The 20,437-nt window shown below is 36.4% G+C and overlaps 1 protein-coding gene across 26 annotated transcripts in view; it reads left to right on the top strand.

The window, feature by feature from the left end:
* PDE4D (phosphodiesterase 4D) overlaps positions 1–20,437 on the top strand; it is a 1,553,091-nt gene that overhangs the window by 919,069 nt on the left and 613,585 nt on the right. For 2 of the 26 annotated variants that reach the window (NM_006203.5, NM_001349242.2), the window contains exon 1: positions 16,556–16,731. The exons of 22 other annotated variants lie outside the window; for them this stretch is intronic. In NM_006203.5, the coding sequence (NP_006194.2) occupies positions 16,685–16,731 (47 nt within the window). In that variant the 5' untranslated portion in view covers positions 16,556–16,684. Of the gene's footprint in view, positions 1–15,434; positions 16,732–20,437 lie in introns of those variants that run through there. 2 more of the 26 variants (XM_047417296.1, NM_001364604.1) reach the window with 2 other exon arrangements.

Here is a 20,437-nt window from a genome sequence, read left to right as displayed (position 1 = left end):
CATTTATGTCTTTCATCCACTATAGGTTGATTTTTATATATGGTATGAGATAAAGGTTTATATTTATTCTTCTGCATGTGGATATACAGTTTTCCCAGCACCATTTATTGAAGAGATTGTGTTTCCCCAATGTATGTTCTTGGCACCTTTGTTGAAAATAAGTTCACTGTAGATGTAGGGGTTTATTTCTGGCTCTCTATTATGTTTCATTGGTCTATATGTCTGTTTTTATGTAAGTACGATGCTGTTTTGGTTACTACAACTTTGTTGTGTATTTTGAAGTCAGGTAATGTGATGCCTTTGGCATTGTTCTTTTTGCTCAAGGTTGAGTTGGATATTTAATGTCTTTTGTGGTTCCATATGAAATTTAGTATTGTTTTTTTCTGTTTCTGTGAAGAATGGTATTGGAATTTTGATAGGGCTTATAATGAATCTGTAGATTGTTTTGTAGATTGTTTCAGATATGGACATTTTAATATTAATTCCTCCAATCTATGAACACGAACTATCTTTGCATTCATTTGTGTCATCTTTAATGTTATACAGCTTTGTAACTATTATAAATGGGATTTTAAAAATTTCTTTTTCAGATAGTTCGCTGCTAGTGTATATCAACACTACTGATTTTTGTATGTTGATTTTGTATACTGCAATTTCTATTATAATGAATAGAAGTGGCAAGAGTGGCCATCTTTTCTTGCTCTGGATCTTAAAGGAAAAGCTTTCAACTTTTCCTTGTTAAGTATGGTGTTAACTATGTGTTTGTCATATATGGCCTTTGCTTGTTGAAGTACATTCCTTCTATACTTAATTTGTTGAGGGGTTTTTATTATGAAAGGATGTTCAATTTTGTCAAGTGCTTTTTCTGCGTCTATTGAAATGATGATATAGTTTTCGTCCTTTGTTCTGTTAATGTGATATATTACATGTATTGATTTGTGTGTGTTGAGCCATCCTTGCATCCCTAGGATGAATCCCACTTGATCATGGTGAACAGTCTTTTTATTGTGTTTTTAAATTCAGTTGGCTAGTTTGTTGAGGATTTTTGCATCTATATTCATCAGAAACTTTGGCCTGTAGTTTTCTTTTTTTGTAGTGTCCTTCTCTGGCTTTGGTATCAGGGCAATGCTAGATTCGTAAAATGAGTTTGGAAGTATTCCACCCCATCAAGTTTTTGAAAGAGTTTGAGGAAAATTGATATTAGTTATTCTTTTAGAAAAATTTCTATTAACCTAGCAGTACAAGTTAGCTAGTTTACACTTGGGGCTCTGAGGAGATGTAATGGAGAAAGAGCTGAAATTGGGGTTCAGATTTATAAATCTCAAGTTTTGGTTGAGCACGAAAGGAGAGGGAGTGAGACTAATGATAAGAAGGTTAAAGTAATCACTGGATTGATTTGGGATGGGCAGTCTCAAAAGTGCTGAGGATTCAGTTCCTATTTCAGTGAGCTGGAACACACAAACATAGAGGAAAAAGAAAGACAGTTCAAGTATAAATTTGAATATACCTAAATGTGTGTAAATTACGGAAGAAACAACTTCAAAAGAAAATAACAACAATGACATGGGCTACAGAACAGTTAAGATTAATGATCCCTCATTATAGGGTGCCATTCAGACATAGGAGTTAAAAAAAAAAAAAGCAAACCAGAACCACACACTGCAGCAGCTCCCCAGTTGCAAGCACACTGAAATAACAGAGGCCTGCCTTCACGGGAAGAGGATTAGTTCTACTGTGACCTGTTTATATAAAAACAATGTTGTGGGTAGCAAGATTACTAGAAATGACTTCTTGGATTATAAAGGACAATTATGATAGCTTAGGCCACTAGCTTTCAGTACATTCCATCTGGTACGTTACAAATTAGCTCATTATTCTGCTGTTCTTACGAATGTGTTAGTCTGCAAACATATCATTGTCACAAATTAGTCACCTAGTGTTTCTCTGAAAGTGATTTAATATAAGCACACCCACATCATAGGATGGAACAGTAAAATGGGTCCTTGCTAGATCCTCCAAACAGAATTCAGCATAAAGCACAATTCAATTTCCAAAGGTTTTTGGCACATACATCATCTTCTGATTTTCTAAGATGAAATGTGATTGTTGCCCTGGATATTGGTAATACATTGTAATATTAGAAACCTCTTGGGTCTCCCCATGAACTCTAGAGATCCAAGCCTACTGAGAAATGATGGGTCCACAAATTGAGCATAGCTTTTATTTGTTTTTATTTACATTTGTTATCGCAGGTGCTATCACAACTGTTGTTTCAATAATAGCAATTTCAATTTGAAAATTAACTTAAAGATCTTATTTTGAAGTGTGTTTTGTAGCAGATGAGCTCACCCACCAGCTACTTGGAAAGAAGAAGAAAAGTGAGGAAACATAAACTTCCTCTGCTGTCTAACTGGATTACCTACTGAGACATCCCCTTGTGTGGGTTATAATAAATATTTATGGTAAACTTCTTAAGTTAAGATGCCTTTGGTTGCAAGTCTGGAGCCCCCAACTTAATGGCTTAACAAAAACAAATGAGGAAAATGTACTGTCTTATAACATGAATTTTCAAGGTAGGCTATTCCAGGGTAGGTTATTAAGAGGTTCAAACACATCACCCAGGTTCTGCTTTGCCATCTTAGCACTTTGTCCTTTTGCTCAGACTTACTCTCCTCATTTACACAGGATGGACAGTCATAGCCAGACACCAGGACCAAAGGCAGAAAATGCACCCTTTCATGCCTGAGCAAGAACTTGTGAAGATATATTTTTAAGAGAGAGAGAACTGAGTAGTGCCGTGAGTCCAACCCTACCCTCTCTTAAAGCGGGCTGCAGTTATCTAACTCACATTAAGCTCAAAGAGAGACCTGGCCTTCAGCCATTTGATGTCCTTCCCAAGAGGACCATCTGGGAAAGCCAGTTTGGCTCCAAGAGCAAGAGTTGGTAGGGATGGAACCACTAGAAAACCAAGGCCTTGATGGGGGTGCTGGTTAATCAGCAGCAATTGGAAAACAAGGCTCTTGCTTGAGTCAAAGGAGTTGCAGCCAGAGGACCCAGCAGGGATACCAATTATGAACCCACAAAAGTACCATGAGACAAAGAGGCAGCTTTCAACATCTGCCAGGTCTCCAACATGTGATGCCATCTTACGATGGCACTAATTCAGGAAAACAAAACAAAACTCTTTTCTTCCTTTCCTCACCACTTTCTGTGCCTTCCAATCCCAGAGGAGTCAATACCAACGGCTAGCCAGCCTGGATAGCCAAGGAAGGGGAAGAGCAACCCAGTCTCAATGCCACCCACTTACTCCACTGCACACAGAGACTCTGTGGTGGGCCCAGCTGGGAGAGGGGAGAAAATGTAAGTTCAATCAAGTTTAGAGTTTTGGGTTACAATTTGAAATGGACATTCTAATTTCTGGATAGAGTCTGAGATGATGGTTTAGCATGAATGCAAAGGTCTCTATTGCCTAACAGTACCCAGAAAAGTCATAAGATGTTCTTTATAAATAAAGTTTAAAGGGACAGTTTGAAAGCAAATAAAATGTGTTTTACACTTTGGGAGACCAAGGTGGGCGGATCACCTGAGGTCAGGAGTTCAAGACCAGCCTAGCCAACATGGTGAAACTCCATCTCTACTAAAAATAAAAAAAAAATAAATAAATAAATAAAAATAGCTGGGTGTGGTGGTGGTGCCTGTAATCCCAGCTCTTTGGGAGGCTAAGGTAGCAGAATCACTCAAACCTGGGAGGCAGAGGTTGCAGTGAGCCAAGATTGCGCCATTGCACTCCAGCCTGGGCAACAAGAGCTCAAAAAAAAAAAAAGAAAAAGCAAAAAACAGCATTTTGCTATCTACTACATGTCCTCATTTTCAGCAAATATGTTACAATATTGATATCCATTTACAAATATTTTTAACTACCTTGACAATACCATATCATATTTGTATCTTTCTTGCGTGCTTCCCCTTTCTTACTCTAATATTTGAGGGGAAAATTATTTATGCCTCCTAGCAAATATGCTTCTGATCTTTAAAACACCTCTGCTCCAGCAAATGGATCCCAAAAGAGATGTGCATTCAAGGTGTGGAAAACAGCAGGTCACTGGGGGGAATGGGAAAGTTAGGATTTTTATTTTTTATATTGCTAGAGACAGGGTTTCATTTTGTCACCCACTGCAGCCTTGAACTCCTGGGCTCAAAGGATCCTCTTGCCTCAGCCTTGCAAAGCACCGGGATTACATGTGTGAGCCACTGCACTGGCTGAAAATTAGTATTAATAGTAATGTCCTTCTGTCCTAGTCCACTGTTTCACTTTCCTTTTTCTTCACGGCTTCCTCCTTTAGACTCCCTTGGACTGGGAGTTTAGCACTATCACCTGCACACTAGACCTGCAGTCTATGAAGAGAGGCTGTCAGGGATTTGGGGCTATCACAGTTGCTCCTCCCAGAGCAAAAAATATTCAACCCTCCCACACACACAGGCAGCAGCCTCATCTCAAATGGACTGTGCCTCTAATCAGTGAGTGGTTATGGAAGACGAGGAGAAAAGTGCATTTATATTTTCATTAACTTTGTTCCTGCTTCCTGTAGCATTTTCATTTTGAAAATGAGTTGGGAATTTCAAACATCAATAAAACGTGCTGAGGATTCTGACAACAAAATCCTTTTTTGTCATGTGCTATGTTGCCCACTTCCTGCTTTTTATTTTTGCTCCAGTCCCTGTTTGATTGCTAATCTAAAGGGAAAGGGAGGGTCAGTGAGAAAAGAGGAGAAATCTTAAAAATGAATTTACTATTTGATCAGGTTTGCTACTTTATTTTGTGGAAAATTTTAAAGCTCTTTTGTGTCTTTATGTATTTTACAAATCTTGGAACTAAAAACAACAGATAAAATCACATTATATTCCCCATTGAATTATTTCCCACATTTCAAATGTGCTTCCCAGAGAGAAAAGTATAAGATACAGAGCTAGGCAATTCAGTTTCACATTAATAGTTTTGTGTCTCATCAGTTTGGGACGTGTATTGTTCATGTTTTGCTTTGTTGTGCCTATTAAGTGATTTATATAGTCTATTGCGATTTTTTTAGGAATGGAATATGCCAATTATAGAGAGAGGTAGGCGAGTTAAAAGTTTCAAGTGCTCAGCATTATAGATTCACCCTCGAGTCAGAATGTTAAAAACAGCAAGGAAGAGTGTGTAAAATGCTAGGTGAATGAGAGGGCATCTGTCCACAATGGGCAACTAGTATTTAATAACTAGCCTTGAATTTATTCTACACTTGAATGCAAAGATTATTCTACTTAATTATACTACAGTGACTTTGAAACTATTAATTATTCTAAATTATTGGGTTCTAGTTTAAATACATTTTTATATTTTTAAGCTTTCAAATGATTATTTGAAAAAATTTATCTGAATATCCTTTTTTTCCTAAAAAGGAATTCTGCCTTTTGAGTACTAAATTATTCTCTCTATAAATCTAAAAATATCACAGTATTTCTTTTTTTTCCAAAATCTCTCTCTCTCTCTCTTTCTCTCTCTCTCACCTCTCCTTATCTGAAACAAACTGACATTTAATGAAGAAAACTGTGAAAAGGGGTTCGAGAAAATGAGAAGCTAGTATTTTGATTGGAAGTGTAATAGATGTCAGTCAGAGAAAAAGAACAGTCTCCAGAACATCTAGATGTGGATGTAGATGTAGATACATTGTTAACGCCACTCTGTGCATTTTAATTTAAGCCACTTGATCATGTAACCATTAATTCAATGTCAAGTTCATTCATTGTAGCTATTCAATATTACAATATAGCATTAATTTTAAATGACTTTATTTCAGGAGGGAAGGAAATAATTTATGAATAGCAACATAAGGTTTCTTATATGATGACTCATCACAATGTTGATTGCAAAAAAAGAAGCTGACTCAGACTAGCTCCTGTAGAAAAGGGGGAACATAGTTACTATGAAGATACAGAAATTAACAGAAACAAGTATAGCAGGGCCTATTGGATTAGGAAAACTGAAATTAAGGCAGCTACTCTCTTTGGGGCCATACAATCACCGATTTCTTTTTGTCTCTGTGTTTCTGTTCTTTCCTGCCTTCTCCCTGTAATTGCCACTGTCTCTTTAGTTATCAGTTTGCACTGAACCCAAAATGGTAACTTCAGCCCCTGAGTCTACAGGACATTTTGGTTCAACCCCACCTTGAACTGATTAGAGTCTCAATTTCACTTAGGACATTTCACATTCCAAAGAGCAAATATTAATATTTGCTGCCTAGTAAATGAATCAGATGTCAGTGAGTCAAGTTATCATGCTTATTCCCATCAGATTTTATAATGGTGAAGTGTAGGAAAGGCAAGGTCTTTAGAAGGAAACATAGGCAGACATAAGTAATCATGTTTGGTATAGAGACTCATTTATTAAATATTTATGATAATAAAATACTTAACAAAGTCAATGTCAAGATAATAAGGACTCTGAGTCCTTATTATGCACCAGATACTATTCTAGGCATTAGAGGATATACCAAGGACAAAACAGACCAGAAAACCCCACTACCCCTAGAGCATGTACCCCACTACATGCTGATGATAATCTTTAGTCATCTATTTCAAAAATAACTTAAAAATGGAGTGGCAATGTCTCTGCGTAGTCAATTCAAGATGCCGAAATAAAAATACATGTATATGTGTCTTCCTTGTGTGTTTCTTTTTTTTTTTGTATTTCTCGTGTTGAACTTGCATGGTTTTCTAAATGAAATATTTTCATTTTTAATGTTTCATATATGTGTCTGTATATATATATGTAATATACATATGTTATAAATATATACAAATATATGTATTTGTAAATAACATAGTCATATTTGCTTTTATACCTAACTCTGTTAACTGCCAATGATGTGTAATTATATATGTGCATGGGTTAGAAGTGGTGGATGGGGCCTTTGGATTTTAAATGGCATTTTACCTGCAGCCTCTGATGCAGCCTCTTCCAGCTTCCTATTAAAGTGACTGAAAACACTGCAAAAATATATATATATATAATTTTTAAAAAGCACTAAAAACCAGTACTGGCAGAATATTAAAGAAGCGTTAAATTAGATTGACAATATATATGGTGGACCACACATTGTATTCCATTCTAAAAGTAGGAAGAATAATTTCTTAGTTTTACCTGGACCATACAATACATCTACTATGTCCTACTACTGTAGTAGTATATGCAGCGATATACTACTTAAGATTTTTAAAAAGAAATATACAAGCAGACCTAAAGGTGGATCAAAACTAAAGAGTTAAGAATAGAAACATCCAGAGGAATACCCTCTTGAGATCATCTACTGGTAAAAATTCATCACAAGAGTTTTAAAGAGAATAATAACTTTTGTAAGCCCCATCTGATTGAACTGCCTTCCCCAGTAAACCTGTGAGAGTGGAGAGGTTTGAGTATTTTCATGGTAATTTCTTTACCATGTGCCATCTGGCAAATAAAAGAGTTCTTTTCCAGGCAGTACTTTTTACCAAATTCAGAGGTCGGTGAAATATTCTTACAACAACATAAAAATCGGTGGTAAACCCACTATTCCTGGAGGGGAGGAAGACTGGAAAGAAGTATACTGACTTGTCTTTTGGGAATGGAATTATGGATGACTTGCTTCTTTCTTGTGTGTTTATTTTATTTTATTTTTGTATTTCCCATGTTGAACTTGCATGGTTTCCTAAATGAAATAATGTTTCCTCTTTAAAAAGAAACTTTAAATGATATTGAATCTAGTTAAAATGAAACTATGTGATAAGTTTCAGATTTTATAAATAGATTGTCAAAATATGTGTTAAACATTCTTGATAAAATTACATCTTTGCTTCAAGCAATTGTAAAGAAAATGGAATCTATTGACATTACAAATAGCAATTTTAGCATCCATAAATTTGAAATTGTATAAAAATTGTACATATTCTGGGTATAAAATGTTAATGCTTGTCATGTAACTTTGTAAAAACTTTATTTTTTAAAGCATTTTTAGGTTCACAGCAAAATTCACAGAAAGGTCCAGAGATATTCCATTTACTCCAACCCCCACACATGCATAGCCACCCCATTATCAATATCCCCCCCACAAAAGTGGTACATTTTTTTTTACAATTGAACCTACATTGATACATCATTATCTCTAAAACATATAGCTTACATTAGAATTTACTCTTAGTATTGTATATTCTATGGGTTTGCACAAATTTATATTGATGTATATCTTCCATTTTTGTATCATACGGATAATTCCAACATCTCTGGCATGTCTAGTTCTGATGCCTCTTCTGTCTCTTTAAACTGTGTTCTTTGCCTTTAACTATGCATTGTAATTTTTTCTTCATAGCTGGGCATGTACTGGATAAAAGGAACTCCTGTAAATAGGCCTTAAGTTATATGGGTGGGCCAGGCATGGTGGCTCATGCCTGGTAATCCCAGCACTTTGGGAGGTGGAAGCAGGTGGATCACCTGAGGTCAGGAGGTTGAGACCAGCATGGCCAATGTGGTAAAACCTCATCTCTACTGAAAACACGAAAATTAGCCAGTCATGGTGACACATACCTCTAATCCTAGCTACTGGGGAGGCTGAGGCAGGAGAATTGCTTGAACCCGGGAGGCGGAAGTTGCAGTGAGCCAAGATTGTGCCACTGCATTCCAGCCTGAGCTACAAGAACGAAACTCTGCCAAATAAATAAATAAATAAATAAATAAATAAATAAATAAATAAATAAAATAAAAAAGTTATGTGGGTGGTGGTGTGGTAAGGGGCAGTGGAGGGGAAGCTTTCTATCATTCCATAATTAGGTTTCAGACTTTTGGTGAGCCTGGGCCTCTGGATTGTGAATCTCCTAAGTGTTTTTCAGGTTTTTTTTTTCTTATACCATAGGTGAGAGAGAATGGCTAACGTGGGCTGGAATTGAGTATTTCCTTTCTCCTTGATGGTAGGCTAGAGTGGGCTGGAGTTGGGCATTTTTCTTTCCCCAGGTCAGTGAGGCTCTAATATAACAAAACAAAATGGAACAAAAAACCCCAGCAGGTTAGGCTCTGATTAACTAGTTTCTCCTCAGGAAGAACCAAGCTTCAGCAGATTTAAAGATGTGTACTTTTTCCCTTCTCTTGCTGGAAGCATGAGAGAATTTTTCTCCAATATTTACTGTGAGAACTTGGTAGCACTCCTGGAGGTAAAACACACAGAATTGTGGGGACCTCCCTATTACTGGGTTCCTCTGGAGTTTTTCAACTTTCAGACTTGCCTGCACTCAGCCTCTAACGATTTGTCAATTATAGTTGAGGTTTTTCTACCCCAGCACTGGTTCTCTTGGAGGTTTCTGCTCCGGTATGTTGTGATTCTCCATAGCCTACTGTCTATCTCACCAGTGGTTTGGGCAGCAGTTTGCCCTGTGACCTCACTTCTCTTATGGATCTAAGAAGAGTTGATTTTTCAGTTTGTTCAGCTTTTTTGTTGTTAGGACAGATTGGCAACTTCCAAGCTCCTTATGTGAGGAACTGAAAGCTGGATTATGTTACTTTTTTACTGGGAGGTTGAGTGATAGAAGAACTGTCATCAGAAGTTTAATTAAATTATCAATCAGTAACAATCAATTAAATTTCCAGTGAAAGCAAATCTATTTTGGATACATCTAATCAGGATAAATGAAAGAATAAGTGTGCATTCTTACAACATTTCTCTTTTTTTTTTTTTTTTGAGAGCCATTACAGGTGCGAACCACCATGCCCAGCTGATAATATGAGTAAGTTTTGAAGTTGGGCTTTATTTTATTACATGAGAAATATTTTTGCTCCTTTGAATTTTCTAAACAAATATTATACAAAGCCTTTAGAAAAGCTTAAGATATAAATGAAATGTAATTCCATTTCAGAAGGTAGTTTTGACATTACATTATTTGTATTTTTTCTTTTTTTTCCATTTTGATTCCAGTAAATTGCAAAACAAATGATCTGTATTTTATTATATTTTACTAAGCAAATTTTAAAGGTATATGCAAACAACATTTAAAGAGCTCTTCTTATTAAAAAATTTTAAATTATAATAAGTTAAAATTATAATAATCTAAGTGTTTGTATTACTTCCATGCTACGGATAAGGAAATTGTGTCTCACAGAGGTTTCATGCGTTGGTCAAAATTACACAAAAAGTAAAAGGCAGAACCTGAAAATAAGGGTTCACATCTTAGGACTCCAAGATGGTATACACATTTGACTTTTTTGTCTTTAAACTTGCTGTGAACATTTTTCCACTTTTGATTCTTAAGTATAAATATTAAGTGCCTTCTTTGTATTTCAGTATTAGGCTTTTAAGTCTTCTACTTCCAAAAAAAAAATTAAAAGTAAAATTTAACAAGCATTCTAAATATTCCAATTATGAAATATATTTCATATTATGAGATTTTTCTTCTGTAAAAGAATTTATCATTTAAGATTAGAAGATTTAACCTTGAGGAGTATGATCCAAAATGGCTTTTTATATTAGTTGAATCATGAAAAGTCCCAACAAAGCATTTGCTGGTTTTAGGTGATGAAACTAGGTGTTTAATGAATTTATTTTTTCTTTTCTAATTGGTGATTGTACCCTGGGTTATGAGAATATGTAGAAATTGAATGTAGTAGCTACTAGCAACTTGCTGAAACATGATGCATTTCCCTGACTCTCAGCAACTGAAACTGCGGCTTCATGAAAGGCTTCTCGTATTTCAGTTATAAATGTTCAGAACAGCATGCCTTCAGACTTTGCTAGAACTTGCCAGGAGTGGAAAGTCATGACTATCAACATCGTTATTAGTTAACATTGACTGAGTACCAACAATGTTTTTGGTGTTATAAATATAGAGAAGAAGACACTGTTCTGTTCCTGGGGGATTGGCTTTCTGTAAAGGTGAGATAGAGAATTTGGTCTTGAATGTTCTTTTCTTGCTGGGAGGTGGGGTTGGAAGCACAGCCACCTCAGGTCTCATTCTGATGGCACACTCACCTCTTTATTAGTTGATGATATATGCAATAAAAAGAAAAAAATGTATAATTACACATACATACACACATGTGAAAACTCATGTAAATTTTATTTTTTATTGGTAAAAAATATATATTTATGGGGGGAGCTTGAGGCAAAAAGTCACATCCTGCAAGATATCCAGGTGACAGTAGCTTCTATATCCTTGTGTATAATGTATTTATACTGTTATTAATAGTATATAGAATGTGCTAAGAAAAGTACATAGAAGTTTTTGTATGTGTAAATATATTTATATGAACCCAATATGTAGAATACAGGGACCAAGTGTTTTGTTTTTGACATCTAAGGGACAAAAGTAATCCAGCCTCTTGAAAGAATGGAGACTTTCCAAAAATATCTGAACTGATTATTGGTATTCATATAAGATAAATAAGTCATCTTTTAGGTCTTTATTCTTTGATGTCTAAATATACAGGAGTTTTATTTCATCAAGTTATTTAAGAGGCAAACATTGACATTAGCTATTGATTATACCAAAATGCAATGATGACAAAAAAATATACCTTAACATTTGACATTAAAGTTACTTTCTGAAAGTGAAACTCAGGGAAAATCAATGAAGTAACTCATCACACCCTCTGATAAGTACAAGTGACTAAAGAGTCTAGGAAATACCCAACCTCAGGAACTAGGGTGTGACTTTATTATACTATGCTTATACTAGCATAAAGGTTGAACTTAATCATTCTTTTATGCTCATTGTGAAGGAAGTGTGTAAGTTGAAGGCATTTTAAGAGGATGAAATACTGAAACTGATATTACAGAGATAAGAATTTGTGTAGAAAGTATTAATTCTGTATTTCTACTGTTACATTTTTGTAATTTTTTTTAAAGAGCCAGACTTTTTTTGTATGTATTATCAAACTTTGAGATAAAACTAGTTAAAGCAGAAGAGCTCTTGTTGAAACAGCACAAAGTACCTGGCTTCCTAGACCCAGCACAAAGTACCTTGCCCCTCAGCTGACCTGATGCAACTTTGAAAAACCATAGGGTTCCCAGAAACTTAGTTTGAAAACCTTCACTCTTATGAGCATAACCCTATAACCATGAGAGAAAAGGGTTTTATTGGAAAAGGACGTGGGACACCGGCTAGTTAATACTTCTGGCTCTGATTCTGGATGCATTAAGCGATCTTTCAATGAAAATGTTGAAAGTATTTTGGTTTGCTCTGAGTTTGTAGTTTATCAATTAATTGAGCTTTTTATTGAATCAGCCTCATTTAAGGGTAGTTAATATAAGTTCACTTACTCTTGTGCTTGCTGTGGGATTAAAATTTAAAAAAAAACACAAAACAAAACAACAAACCAGTCTTTGCTCTAGTAGAGCTGAGGTTATGCCATAGCTGCAGGGACTTCACTGAGGTTATGCCAATTTGTGGTGCCCTGCTAATAATTCGCACTCCTGTATTGATAAAAATAATGGGGCTGAGATTAGCCATAAAGATAATCTTTTATGGTTACTCCTGATATTTCTTTTTAATTTTTTTAGAGACAGAGTCTATGTTTCCCAGCCTGGTCTTGAAATGGGCTCAAGTTATCCTCCTGCATCAGCCTTCCAAGTAGCTAGGACTACAGGCATGAGCAACCAGAACTGGCTTCCTGATATTTCTTAAAAGTTTCATGAAAGGATGATTATCTTTTAGTGTAACAAAATAGATTAGCATTACCCTAACCCAACAACATTTTTTCATTTTTGACAACTTGTTTTTAGATTACAAACCTATTAGTTCTGCCTAACTGTTGTTTCTTGAAGGCCATACATGTAGGAAGTATTAAATTTGTAAAGTATCAGCCTATAAATTAGTAGACATAACTCTTAAGACCCTCTTTCTAATATAAATGGAATAAAATGCTGGAAATGAGTTATTTCTATTTTCTAAGCAAGCCTATTCTTTTATATTTGTTGCCTTATGTCTGCAAAAATATTCAATTTTGGATTGTTTAATAATGTGTAGTCTTGATTCTCTGAACTGTGAAATAAATTACAGTTTTTTCTTTGCTATCTTTCAAGCAGAAATTTGGCTTTTCTGTTATTTATCATAGTTTCTCAGTTGTGTTTCCTTTTGTTCTAATTTGTTAGACTTTATTCTAGACAGTTGCATGTATAAAAATAAAAATCCAACGAAAATTCACTTTAAAAATATTCAGCTAAAATGTCCTCTTAGTTTAAGTATATTTAGTAGTTTAATGGCCAAATCATTTGTATTTTATTTATAAAGTGCTTTGCTTATATCATTGCCCGCAAATGGAAATGTAGCTAACAAGTATTGAATGTTGAACTGTGTGGTAGTGGAGAAAGATTCAGAGGTATTCTTACTATCCTATCACCCATAGGTGATGGTTTGACATATGAACAGAGTAGAATAAAATGGACTAAGAAAATAATGTCAGATAAATGATGTTCATTACAAAGGAAAATATATTTTTACATCTTTTTAAAAAATCTTTGCATTTGCTACTTTCTATGGAGACCTACTCTCTTGTATAAGGACTGAATGTTAGTTTTAAAATAATTAAAACCCATCATTATCATCATCATGATCAAAGATCACTAACCAGAGTCAAATAATTTGAATTCTCTTCCAGATCTACTGCTCACAAGATGCCTGATAATGAACAAATACAATCTTTTTGGCATCTCCAAAATGGGCATAATAAATGTCTTAATCTCCTCAGCATAATTCTGTGATGCCAAAATAATACATATAACAATAATATTTTAGAAAGTATAAAAGTATAACAAGGTGGTATTATTATGATTACAGAGGTGCTAGAATATTGTGGTAATGTGTACAGGCTCTGGAGCCAGACTTCCTTGATTCAGATAGTGACTCACTAGATATTTAACCTCAGACATGCTACTTAACATCTGAGTGCCTCAATAGCCTCATCTGGAGAACAGGGCTAGTAACAGTCCTTAACTCATAGTGCTGTTGTGTGGATTAAATGGGGTAATACTGTAACTATCTTAGAATGGGACCTGGGGCATTGTAGATGTTCCTAGCTCTTAAATAATAATATTTAAATGTCTAATATAATATCAAAATTTTAATTACTTGATTCAAAACATTCAAAGCTTGTTAAAAACAATGTAGGCTGAAGTTTTCTGGGCCAGATTACAAATGACCTTATGGAAGAGATTTAGTCCCTTTAGCAAAAAGGGGTCATGAGGACACTGCCTAGGCTACAGGAAATCTCAACAAATATTCTCAAGATTCTTTTATGCTGTAGTGGCATCTTTCTGAACCTACAAGTTCACATTGCTTTTAAGGAATCACCCAGTTCTTCTTCCTCCTAGGAATCCTCCTTTTAGGATCATCTTTTGATCAAAATGAAAATTCTCCAAATTATGGTGGTTTTTAAGATTAGTTTTCTTTATACTAGGTTTTGAATTTATGGGACATGCCCTCCACCCAATCTTGGGTAATATTTTCTGCAATGACAGGACCTCACTGGGGAAATCCTAAATGAAGATAATAGCATGTTATATTAAATGTTGCCGGTATTCCATTTAATATCAAGCAATTGCGTAAAAGCCTTTTTAAATACCTAAGTTAAAAGTGGTATATTAATGTTGAGTGTACTTCTACTGCAAAGTCCATTCTCCCACTGATTTCAAACAAATACCATTTAAGTGCCAACCTACTATTACAAGAGTTTACTATTTTATTCTTGCTCCAAAATGGCATCAACAGTGATGGGGTGCTTTTGGGGGATTATTGAACAGAATTTTTGCAACAAAGGAGCAAGCATGAAGAAATGCAAAACATCAGTGATAGGGATTGCAACGTTTTATCTCAGCATTCCTCATATCTACACACCCCCTAATCAAACAAGCAGTTTTATGGCATGCGCAATTGCAATTGAAGTACAACTGACTTCTGCAGAACCGGCTTCCATAGGATTTCCTGTCCAAAAATCACCATGTGGTCATCTGCAGCTAAATGGTTACAAATCATCAAGTAAACAAGGCTTCCCCACCCCGGTGCTTTTTTTTTAAGGAGTGAAATCCACCAAACTCTATCATTTGCAAATTATCTCTGGACTTCTTTTATTTCTTTTTTTTTCACTGGGTAAGAAGGAAAACGAGCAAACAAAAAATCCTCCCTCCGTATTTGTTTAAGGCGTAATTTCCCTGTGAGGTGTTTTACAGGCTTCTCCTTGTTTAGCTTTTCTTGCCTGGTAATTACTGAAAGAAGTCTGCTCTTCCAGGGCGAGCTATTCCTTTAACCCCTTTTGCTTGCTCTTACTTGGAGGTTAGCAAGGAGTGCGCGGCTCTGCAATGTCTGGGAACCCACCTAGAGGGCCCCCTTGACGCCAGCACATCCCCTGTCAGGCAGCAGTCTCTGCAGCTGAGCCAGGCTGCTGCAGAGTTAATGTACAGTACCACGGAGCCTGCAAGTGTCCTGAGCTGATCAGAGCTGGGGCGGCACAGCCCAGGGCAGACAAGGCGGCTGCGAGGATTCCAAAGGTTCTGCTGGAAATTCGGCGCTGGGGGACTCCAGCAGGAGCCTGTTGCCATTGTGTTTTAAAAGCATGCAAGGTCTGTATAGCTTGGGCATGAGAATCTTTCAGAAGATGTCAGAGCATCAGAATAAATGACACCTATTGGAAAACTGAATTTGGGGTGAAAAACAAAAGAGATTGAGAGAGGAAAAAAAAGAAAAGAAAGACATCGGGGGAAGAATTCTTAGACAACGTCTGACTTGCAGCTGTGAAATTCATTTTCTTTCCAAGGCAAAATATGAAAAGCTCCCACATGGTTTTGATAATAACAAAATAAAGGGGATTCTGCAGTGAAAAGATCAATAGCTTAGTCATTTTACTTAAAGAGAACAGCCAGCCTTATTATGGGGTTAGGCAGCAGAAATGAATTTCATCGTGACAGCATCTTCTGAAGTCATGATGGTAGTTAATGGTAATCTTGTCCTGCAGAGCAGAAATTACTCATTGCCTTCCTACTTTTGCAGTTGAACCAGCAATTCTGAAATCTGGGAAAGAAGTTGGCTTTGGTGATACATGGTTTCTAGCCCCTCTGCCCAGGCCTTTGTCCGACACGTCTCAGACGGTAGCACTGCGTTAAAGTGACCATACATGAATATGTGCCTAAGAAAGAAGAAAAAGCAATATTCATTTCTAAAGGACAGCATGGCAAAGCAACCTGAAGTTTTCCATTTCCCTTCTAACACTTCTTTAACAAGGATATCAAGAAACTGTCTTTTGACTCCTTTCTTCCCACATTCCAGAGTCCTTCCTTAAGGATGCATTAATTTACACTCAAGGCGGTTAGATTTTACCAGGACAATATTTGCCACCATTTAGGATTATTAGTTGAACTGGTTATTTTAGTATGTTGACTAACTAGTGGAACCTAAATGGATGGACCCATACCTGCAGTGCTCTGTGATGTTTCTTTTTTCAAATCCTGGAAGGCCTTTTGTAATTGCTATTTGTTTTTATTGGTGGGGGGAGATTTTTTTTTTTTTTTTGGGATTCAATACTTGTTGCAATAATTGCCCACGATAGCTGCTCAAACAAGAGAGTTGGAATTCATCTGTAAAAATCACTACATGTAACGTAGGAGACAAGAAAAATATTAATGACAGAAGATCTGCGAACATGATGCACGTGAATAATTTTCCCTTTAGAAGGCATTCCTGGATATGGTGAGTAATCAATATTCCCTTCAGTTTGTAAAACTCAGAATTATCAAATTCCGTGACAGGTACCAGATGAGGATTTGTCTTGAACTAGAGTATTGGTATCAAGTGAGAATGAAAAGTAAACTGTGCAAAACCGAATATTGTCTGAGAAAGTAATGGTTATGCAATAAAAATACTTTGTTAATATGAAGCATCCCCAAATAAGTCAAGCATGAGGACTTGAGAACATTTAAATTGCTAATATTTCATGGAGGAAGAAAAAAACTTTGAGAATGGCAACAATTTAATAAATTTTTTTAAAGATGAGGCTTAGGGTTTGTTTTTTGTTGTTTTGCTATTTTTATTTGAAAATTCCCTGGGGAAGGGCACACATGAATTTCTGATATATCAATTTGTCTGAATTTCTAAAAGAAGGTTAAGGGAAACTTAGAATGTTGACTCAATTTTAAAATAATGCTAAAATGTGTTGGTGCCTCACAGTTAAGGATATTTTAGCTATTCAAGAAATATTTCTACCAGAATGAACCAGTAGAATTCTAGTAGAATTCTAACATATGAATCAGGAAGTGCTCAGGCTCTCATAGAACTTGCTTAGTGCCTTGATATTTGGTCATCTATTAAGGTTCAATGCAATGCATTCAGGTCCCTGGACATGTGATATCATGTGCCATTTCTTGCTGGAGTTTATGACTAAATGTGTGTAGGAACTCATTGCTGAGGGTATTTATAAGAGCAAAAGGTCATTATTTTAAAATTGCTTGTTTTTGCCATACCTTTAGGGTCAGCTGGATTCTGACTTTCATAGCAGAAACTTTGTGAATGCATAATAAAGGCACATGTTAAGGCTTAGTGTCTGCTAACATGGGTTGTTTTGGAAATGCAGTTTGTCTGATTTTGAAAGTATATCTTTCAGGTAAATGTTCTGGCTGGACTCTGGATGAATAATAGATACCTAAATATAGGTTTCGGAGGGCTTTCCAGCTGCTTTTATGACAATGTCTCAAATGAAAGCTCCCTGAGAGCTTAAGGTACCACCAAAATCACCTGCTGGTTTGTTACAGAGTTTTCGGCTTTCAGCTAAAAAATCCATTGCAGAGAAGGATGGGAGGCATCCTCTCCCACTCTAGGCAGGTGCTTATTTTCTAACAACACCAGATCCATCCAGAGTCGATGCTGTGGCGTATCTACCTTTTTTGCTGACCAGAGCTACTATCCCCAGTCTCTAGAATGCTTGGGTGACATGCCTGCAAACCTCGGTGGCCCACTTCCAACTGCATCACCAGAGTTTCCTAGTCAGGGGGAGCCTTGGTGCCATTGCCTTGCTTGTTCTGTTGGTGAGGGTCAGGCATCAGCAATAAGGTCCTCATTATTCTTACAGACAAATTTACATCAATAGTCTTTAATCTTGAGATTAAAAGATCCTGGAAACAGTTCCTGGCACGTAGTAGGCATTTGTCAATTATTTTTCTTCTATGCCTTAGGCTTTTCTTCAGAGTTCATTTTATACCTCTTAAGATTTGCTTGGGAGGGGAAATTACCAGTCTCCTTTCTATCAAGTGTACCTTGCTACAAAGCAACAGTTTTTGTTCTACCTAAGTTCTGCTGTTTAAGCCCATTTGTTTATGTTGTAATACATAGGATCCATGTACTCTTTGAATGCCTGCAATTATAAGCACTTTTTATTTTTATTGCATTAGCCTCACCTATACTTTTGACTGGAAAGAAATAAGCTATTCAACTCTGAAGTTTTGGAAAGAATGCAAATTTGCTTATTCATGCTCCTCTAGATCTGTAATACATATGTTTGAAAGCTGTATGGAGAAGTTGAGAGTCCTGTTGGTTTTCTTTTGTGCCTGGAGTTAGGTAACCCTTCATCTGCTTCACTGCATGTCGTACCAATCTGTTGTTGTTGTTGTGGCCAAACTAAGCCAATGTAGAATGTTAATGCTCTGTATAACTCCTACTCTTCCTGGGCCCCTTGCAGGGATTCATTAATATGATGTTGGACTCAAAGGAAGAAGGTGGTGGTTTTTTTCCAGGTGACCTAATTAATTTTGTGCTTGGTTCTTGACTTTCTCAATGGTTGTTGTTTTCCTCTTATTTATAGCCTCCCCTTCCAGTACTGCAGTAAGAGATTGTAGGGGTTTGTTGACAGAAAACCCTCTTTCCCTTTGTCCTACTGTAAGAGCCCCTATAGGGTGAGATTTCAGGCTCGTGAATTATCGTGCTTAGAATAAAGGTCTCGCCAAATTGCTCTTTTCATCTCCAAAGACTCCCCCTATCCTCATTCTCACATTTAGAGCCTTTTCTTCGTGAAGGGACCGATCAGAAGTTGGCAACAGGCCAGTGCTAAGGAATAATAAACATTGTAAAAGACATATGTGCTTTGGTTTCACGAGCCCTAGCTCATCTCTAGAAAGGCTCTGTACCCTTTGGAGAGGCGGGACTTGGCATGTGCTGGTCCTCTTTCTGTCCTGCTTTTTGAGAAGCAAGAATGAGAAAAAGCTGAGACACAGGAGGTCTAGGGTAGTCTTCAAATTTTACCAGAAGTAGTAATTGAAATAGAAGCCTGTGCACAGAGTTCCTACTTGTACTCTCATCCACCTGCCCTAGGGCTGGTGTGTTGATTATTGAGCAATAGTATTACAAATTCACTCTTTATCAGTTATGAGTTAAAGTTAATAAGTGGTCCTATTACTTGGTTTAATAGAACACTACCCCTTCCGTGCTAAAAGAGTGGTATGAAGAATGTGTGTTTCTTCTTTGAAGCTACATTAGAAATATTAGCTGGAGGATTTTATTGCGAAGGCTTCTTTCCATTACACTTTTCAGTCTTTTTACTGCCAAGCCAAACAAAGATAAGGGTTTGCCTCACTGGATAGATAAGTACTATATAGCTCTTCTTATTTTTCCTTCTGGCTAGTTGTTAGAATGGAGAGATAGCCTGGCATTCAGGAACAAGTATGGCATGGTTGAAAGAAGGGAAATGCAAGTCAGCTTTCTAGGAATTTAAATTTCATGTAGCAGCAGTTAAGAGGACCTTTAGAAGCATTATGACCTGGAATCACATGCCAGGGTCTAACATGAATGACCTAACACAGTGTGACTAACATGTTCAGCTTTTTGCCTGACTTAAAAGATATATAACAACTTTTTATAATCTTATTTGTAAAAATACTATAATTTCATGCCAGAAACATCAAGGCTATGTTGAATGCAATTGAATTTCATAGCTAAACAATTTAGGAGGGCATTTTATTTAAATACCTTTGCATCCTTTTAATGATGGATTCACATGGCTAAAAGGACAGTGGAAGATAGAAGCTAAAGGCCCTGGCTAGGAGAGGCTGTGGAATGCTGCCATGGAGGGCCCCTCTGAGGACACCAGAGGAAGATTTGGGATTAATGATTGTGGAAGGTGATTAATGATTTGCTTATTTGGTGCTTAGGGTTTAATTTTTAAAGGTAGGACATCTAAATGTTTTAAACTGTCTTTGTGATGCTGAGAGGTAACTCCAGTGAAGAGGCAAAATGAGGTGACTGTGGCACTTTCACTCAACATGGAGGCATCTTTTTCCTTCTTCTAGGACCCTAAATTCTTTCATTAGACTGTCCTTTTCCAGGTATCAATTTCTAAAAGGTTTAGTCTAGAAAGTTATTTGTTTGATTGTTCCTCTATAGACCAAGCATTCAATTCATAAACTAACTC

Source organism: Homo sapiens, chromosome 5 (genome assembly GCF_000001405.40).
Source record: "Homo sapiens chromosome 5, GRCh38.p14 Primary Assembly".
In the NCBI taxonomy this organism is placed as follows: domain Eukaryota; kingdom Metazoa; phylum Chordata; class Mammalia; order Primates; family Hominidae; genus Homo; species Homo sapiens.
The sequence above is the reverse complement of the archived record's forward strand: the minus strand, read 5'-3'. Positions and strand labels throughout refer to the sequence as shown.